Below are 7509 nucleotides of genomic sequence, written 5' to 3'. Positions count from 1 at the left end.
GTTAGCCAGGATGGTCTCAAGCTCCTGACATCGTGATCCGCCCGCCTGGGCCTCCCAAAGTGCTGGGATTGCAGGCGTGAGCCACCACGCCCAGCCCCGACTTGCCCTTTTTAAGAACTCTACTATACCCTGCTCTTTTCTATTCCTGTTTTGTATAGAAACTCAAGTATTATGCATACCCGAAGGAAACTGCTGGGTTGGGGAAAAGATTCAGGTGGTGGTGTGAGGTGTTTCTAGGTCCTGTTCTAACACTAGGCACGTGGCATTTCTGTACATGCATGGACTTTTTTACATTTGTCACCTTGTGAGTCCTTGTGCTCCCTAGTCTCCTTTGTCTTGAGTAACATTTTCTCTTTCCTCTTACACAGGTATATCTTACATAAAAGCCAGCCCCAGCAGGGCATCATAATAATAGCTTACAATTATTGAGGCACTTACATGGCAAGTATTCTTGTTAAGTGCTTTACGTGTATTCTTTCAATTGGACAACACAATAAAATCAATAACGTACATAAATTATTTTCATTTTACCAGTGAAGAAGCTAGGGCTTAAAAAGGTGAAATAATATGGATAGTCAACAGTAGATTTTAAGAATCTGCCTATTTCAGTTAGCCCCCAAATTATAATATTTTATTACCATACTATTTTGCTTCAATATGAGGGGAAAATGCTTAAGTCAAGGTGAGGAAAAATATCCTCCTCCTCAGTGCTCAGGAAAACATACTTCAAGCATGTCATTGATCACTAGGGTGCAGTATCCAGTCTAATAATTTAACACATTTTCCTAAAACATTATTACATGTTTTAATGTAGTTTCATATCATTATGTACTGTATTTAGTAAGCTATAGCCCATTTACTTCTGTGGTTACAAGGCAGCAGCAGATGGTCAATGATTCAAACAATATGTGTTTGGCAAGAGATGAGGGAATGCATAACATAAACCATCACAGATGTAATTGTGAGTACAATTTTGAAAGCAAGACACCCATTTTAATATAGTGTGCTAACTCTATTACTATAAAACATTTAGTAAAATCTGTATCATTGCACAATTAGATAAAATTGCTCTGTTTCCAGTTGTTTCCTCCTTCTTGGTACTTTCTGATTTTTTTTAAACTTTCTTGCCCTACTTATATTATGAAGTAAGATAATATTGCCATGTTTCAAGTTGTTCTTTCCTGTTTGTCATTTCTGACCTGTGTTGCTTTTCTTCACATCCTTATTCCTATGAGTAAGCTAACACTGGCATTTTATGTTATTGCTTTTTTGTCCTTTCTGTTTTATTTTTCTAGTAGCAATCATAGAAATTCAGAGAAAAATATAATAATCTGGAAGTCATTGAGAAACATGGAAATATGGAGAGCTAGGTATTTTATCCCACTTTGTTCCAAAATAGATTTAAGGTAACCTTCAGAAATATCTGCAGAACAACAATGAACAACAACAAACGGGTCAGAAGAAACAAACGAAAATGCAATAATGAGAGAAAAAAGATGAAAAATAAGAAAGGGAGTGCAAAAGATATAGAAGATAGAATGCAAAGGTTGAATATATATATTTTATTGAAATCAAAGAAGTGTAGAAGAGAGGGTATGACAGGCAATATTTTAAAAGATAATGGCTGATGATCCTCCAAAATTGATGGAGGATATCAATATGCAAATTCAAAGAGGCCAAAAAATCCAAAGCAAGATAAATAAAAACAAATCCACACCTAGAAATATAACAGAAAAACTGCTGAAAACCAACAATACAACAAAATATCTTAGAATCAGAGAAATAAAATAGGTTACCTTCAACATAAAAAATGTAACATTGAAAGCTGATTTTTACAGCTGCAGTGGAAGTCAGGAGATAGTGTAATGTCATCTACAATATAATTAAGAAAAGTGACTTCTAAAGTAGAATGTTATACACAGCAAAAACAAACAAACAAAACCATTAAAGCAAACAAAAAAGTTCCAAAGGTTAACAATAACCAAAAATCCATTTTGGACAAACTGAGTTCGCTATAAGATAATCCATACTATATAAAATTATAAAATATCTAAAAAATATACTTCAAGCAAAAGGAAAATAATTCCAGATAGCTGTTCTGAAATTAGAAAGAGAAGCCACTATGGTAAACATGTAAGAAAATGTAAGTAATATAGACGGTATAAAATTATACCTGTATATATATCATGATGTTTAAAATGTAGAGAGAAATTGCTATTAGCATATAAAGAAGTTAGAGGGGCAATGGAGTTAAAGGAGTCTATGACCATTGTATTTTCCAGGAGGAAAGTAAAAGAATTGACATTAATAAGTCAATTAAATAGACTTTAATAAGTTAAATGTGAACATTTTTACTTGTAAAGTAACCCTGAAAGAAAATAGAATATATAACTTATAAACCAGCAAGCAAAAAATCATCATAATAAAAATAATCCAAAAGGGAAGAAAATAGAGCAAAAAAAGATAACAGATTGAATATATATAGAAAGCAAAAAATAAGTGGCAAATTAAAACCCAAACATATTAGTTATTATGATAATTGCTACTGAATGAAATGTTTGAGTTATAAGACAAACATATCAGATGGGATTAAACACAAACCAAAACAAAATACATTTATGTCATTTGCTTGATATACACTACAGAAATGTTGAGAGTAAGAGAATGGAAATAGAGTAATTATAATAATAAACAGGTAGCTATTTTAATAGTTTACAAAATAGACTTCAAGGTAAAAAAAAAAGAATTATTAGAGTTAAAGAAAAACCCTTGATAATATTTAAATAAATTTAACTTACCAGACAAAGTTTATATGTACTTTAAAAACTTCAGCTGAATTAAATTTAAAGGAGTTTAATTGAGCAATGAACGATTCGTGAATTGTGCAGCCTCCAGAGACAGAGTAGGCTCTGAGACTCCACTGTAGCCACGTGGTAGAAGATTTATGGACAGAAAAAGGAAAGTGACATACAGTAAATGGTAGCGAGGTACGGAAACAGCTGGATTGGTTACAGGTTGGCCTTTGCCTTATTTGAACATGGTCCGAACAGTTGGCTACATTTGATTGCCAACACTCGGTGACTGGCACAAGTGTGGGCTACAGTCGGTTTACACCTCCACTTTTTATAGTTCACAATGCACAGAGAAATCTTTATGCTGAAATTAAAATATGTAAGGAGGCAGGTTTAGGCTAAACTTGATTTAACAATTCCCCCCTTTTGGTCACCTTCTCTATTTTGAAAGATTGACCAAAACTTTAGTCATCAACGTCACTATCACTATCATAAATGTACTTATTTGGCCTTGAAACCCACTGAGAAACAGTATAATAGTGGGTTTTGCAAGGTGGGGACAAGGACTTCAGGTTATTTTTCTTACGTGTTAGAGTAGAGGGTAACTCCCTATGCTGGAACATCTTATTTACAGCAGAAAAAAACAAAATCTTGTCTGTTCTAGTGAGAGTTGACAGCGTGCTGGCAGTCCTCACAGCCCTCGCTTGCTCTGCTCTCAGCGCCTCCTCCGCCTGGGCTCCCATTTGGTGGCACTTGAGGAGCCCTTCAGCCTTCCGCTGCACTGTGGGAGCCCCTTTCTCTGCTGGCCAAGGCCGGAGCTGGCTCCCTCAGCTTGGGAGGAGGTGTGGAGGGAGAGGCGCGGGCGGGAATAGGGGCTGCGCTGCGATGCTTGCAGGCCAGCAGCGCGAGTTCCCGGTGGGCGTGGGCTCCGCGGACCCCGCACTCGGAGCCGCCGGCTGGCCCCAGCGGCCTGGGCAGTGAGCAGCTTAGCACCTGGGCCAGCAGCTGCTGTGCTCATTTTCTCGCCGGGCCTTAGCTGCCTTCCCGCAGGGCAGGGCTCGGGACCTGCAGCTCGCCATGCCTGAGCCTCCCCCAACCCCGTGGGCTCCTGTGCGGCTGGAGCCTCGCCTACGAGCACCGCCCCCTGCTCCAAGGCGCCCAGTCCCATCGACCACCCAAGGGCTGCGGAGTGCAGGCGCAGGGCGCGGGACTGGCAGGCAGCTCCACCTGCAGCCCCCGTGCGGGATCCACTGGGTGAAGCCAGCAGGGCTCCTGAGTCTGGTGGGGACTTGCAGAACCTTTATGTCTAGCTAAGGGATTGTAAATGCACCAATCAGCACCCTGTGTCTAGCTCAGGGTTTGTGAATGCACCAATTGACACTCTGTATGTAGCTACTCTGGTGGGGACTTGGAGAACCTTTATGTCTAGCTCAGGGATTGTAAATACACCAATGGGCACTCTGTATCTAGCTCAAGGTTTGTAAACACACCAATCAGCACCCTGTGTCTAGCTCAGGGTTTGTGAATGCACCAATTGACACTCTGTATCTAGCTACTCTGGTGGGGCCTTGGAGAGCCTTTGTGTCCACACTCTGTATCTAGCTAATCTGGTGGGGACGTGGAGAACGTTTGTGTCTAGCTCAGGGATTGTAAACACACCAATCAGCGCCCTGTCAAAACAGACCACTCAGCTCTACCAATCAGCAGGATGTGGGTGGGGCCAGATAAGAGAATAAAAGCAGGCTGCGGGAGCCAGCAGTGGCAACCCGCTTGGGTCCCCTTCTACACTGTGGAAGCTTTGTTCTTTTGCTCTTTGCAATAAATCTTGCTGCTGCTCACTCTTTGGTTCCACACTGCCTTTATGAGCTGTAACACTCACCACGAAGGTCTGCAGCTTCACTCCTGAAGCCAGCGAGACCACGAGCTCACCAGGAGGAACAAACAACTCCAGACGTCCTGCCTTAAGAGCTGTAACACTCACTGTGAAGGTCTGCGGCTTCACTCCTGAGCCAGCGAGACCACCGACCCACCAGAAGGAAGAAACTCTGAACACATCCGAACATCAGAAGGAACAAACTCCGGACACGCCGCCTTTAAGAACTGTAACACTCACCGCGAGTGTCCGCGGCTTCATTCTTGAAGTCAGTGAGACCAAGAACCCACTAATTCTGGACACACTAGGATCTATGTGTTTCCTTAAAGTCTTAGTTTGATTATGTCAAGTTTAGCACAAGTGGCTCCATTTTGGTTTGGTCTGGGCTGTTGGGGCCTAGTGCATGAATTCAGTCCAAAACAATGGCCTCCCATAATTTTGTTTAAAAATTTCCCATTGCATCTGCCATTACTGAGGCTTGAGTAGGCGGTTTTCCCCTCACAGTGTAAACAAAGCCACCAGGAAGTTCAAACTGGGTGGAGCCCACTGCAACTAGGCAAAGCTGCTGTAGCCAGACTGCCTCTCTAGATTCCTCCACTCTGGGCAAGGCATCTCTGAAAGAAAGGCAGCAGCCCCAGTCAGGGGCTTATAGATAAAACTATCTGTAATAACACCTGGGGAAACAGGTGGCTATGGAGTCAGCTTCAGCGGACTTAAACATTCCTGCCTGCCAGATCTGAAGAGAGCAGTGGATCTCCCAGCACAGTGCTCGAGCTCTGCTAAGGGACAGACTGCCTCCTCAAGTGGGTGCCTGACTCCCATGCCTCCTGACTGGGAGACATCTCCCAGCAGAGGTCGATGGACACCTCATACAGGAGAGCTCCGGCTGGCATCTGGTGGGTGCCCCTCTGGGACGAAGCTTCCAGGGGAAGGAACAGGCAGCAATCTTTGCTGTTCTGTAGCCTCTGCTGGTGGTACCCAGGCACACAGTATCTGGAGTGGACCTCCAGCAAACTCCAGCAGACCTGCAGCAGAGGGTCCTGACTGTTAGAAGGAAAACAAACAGAAAGGAATAGCATCAATATCAACAAAAAGGATGTCCACACAGAAACCCCATCCAAAGGTCAACAACAGCAAAGACCAAAGGTAGATAAATCCATGAAGATAAGGAAAAACCAGTGCAGAAAAGCTGAAAATTCCAAAAACCAGAATGCCTCTTCTCCTCCAAAGGATCACAACTCCTCACCAGCAAGGGAACAAAACTGGACAGAGAATGAGTTTGATGAATTGACAGAAGTAGGCTTCAGAAAGTGGGTAATAACAAACTCCTCTGAGCTAAAGGAGCATGTTCTAACCCAATGCAAGGAAACTAAGAACGTTGAAAAAAGTTTAGAGGAATTGCTAACTAGTATAACCAGTTTAAAGAAAAACATAAATGACCTGATAGAGATGAAAAACACAGCATGAGAACTTCATGAAGCATACACAAGTATCAATAGCTGAATCGATCCAGCAGAAGAAAATATATCAGAGATCGAAAATCAACTTAATGAAATAAAGCACGAAGACAAGATTAGAGAAAAAAGAATGAAAAGAAATGAACAAAGCCTCCAAGAAATATGGGACTATGTGAAAAGATCAAACCTACGTTTGATTGGTGTACCTGAAAGTGATGGGGAGAATGAAACCAAGTGAGAAAACACTCTTCAGGATATTATCTAGGAGAACTTCCCAAACCTAGCAAGACAGGCCAACATGCAAATTCAGGAAATACAGAGAACACCACAAACTTTAGAAGAGCAACCAAAAGACACATAATCGTCAGATTCACCAAGGTTGAAATGAAGGAAAAAATGTTAAGGGTAGCCAGAGAAAAAGGTCGGGTTACCCACAAAGGGAAGCCCATCCAACTAACAGCAGATCTCTCTGTAGAAACCCTACAAGCCAGAAGAGAGTGGGGGCCAATATTCAACATTCTTAAAGAAAAGAATTTTCAACCAACAATTTCATATCCAGCCAAACTAAGCTTCATAAGTGAAGGAGAAATAAAATCCTTTACAGACAAGCACGTGCTGAGAGATTTTGTCGTCACCAGGCCTGTCTTACAAGAGCTTCTAAAGGAAGCACTAAACATGGAAAGGAACAACTAGTACCAGCCACTGCAAAAACATACCAAATTGTAAAGACCATTGATGCTATGAAGAAACTGCATCAACTAATGAGCAAAATAAGCAGCTAGCATCATAATGACAGGATAAAATTCACACATAACAACATTAACCTTAAATGTAAATGGGCTAAATGCCCCAGTTAAAAGACATAGACTGGAAAATTGGATAAAGAGTTAAGATCCATTGATGTGCTGTATTCAGGAGACCCATCTCATGTGCAAAGACACACATGGGCTGAAAATAAAGGGATGGAGGAATATTTACCAAACAAATGGAAAGCAAAAAAAAAAAAAAAAAAAAAAAAAAAAAAGCAGGGGTTGCAATCCTAGTCTCTGATAAAACAGACTTAAACCAACAAAGATAAAAAAAGACAAAGAAGGGCTTTACATAACAGTAAAGGAATCAATGCAACAAGAAGAGCTAACTATCCTAAATATGTAGGCACCCAATATAGGAGCACCCAGATTCATAAAGCAAGTTCTTAGAGACCTACAAAGAGACTTAGACTCCCACAGAATAATAGTGGGAGACTTTAATACCCCATTGTCAATATTAGACAGATCAACAAGACAGAAAATTAACAAGGATATTCAGACTTGAACTCAGCTCTGAACCAAGTGGACCTAATAGACATCTACAGAACTCTCCACTCAAAATCAACAGAATATACATT

The 7509-nt window shown here is 41.1% G+C and overlaps 1 annotated feature.

The window, feature by feature from the left end:
- Positions 3862-4363: an enhancer, noted in NCBI's record as "H3K27ac-H3K4me1 hESC enhancer chr5:110229347-110229848 (GRCh37/hg19 assembly coordinates)". NCBI's record gives its function as "activates a minimal SCP1, AML or CMV promoter by ChIP-STARR-seq in primed H9 embryonic stem cells {active_cell/tissue: H9 hESC(primed)}" and the evidence as "EXISTENCE:reporter gene assay evidence [ECO:0000049][PMID:30033119]".

Source organism: Homo sapiens, chromosome 5, assembly GCF_000001405.40.
Source record: "Homo sapiens chromosome 5, GRCh38.p14 Primary Assembly".
NCBI classification, from domain to species: domain Eukaryota; kingdom Metazoa; phylum Chordata; class Mammalia; order Primates; family Hominidae; genus Homo; species Homo sapiens.
This window is presented reverse-complemented; position numbering and strand designations above follow the sequence as displayed.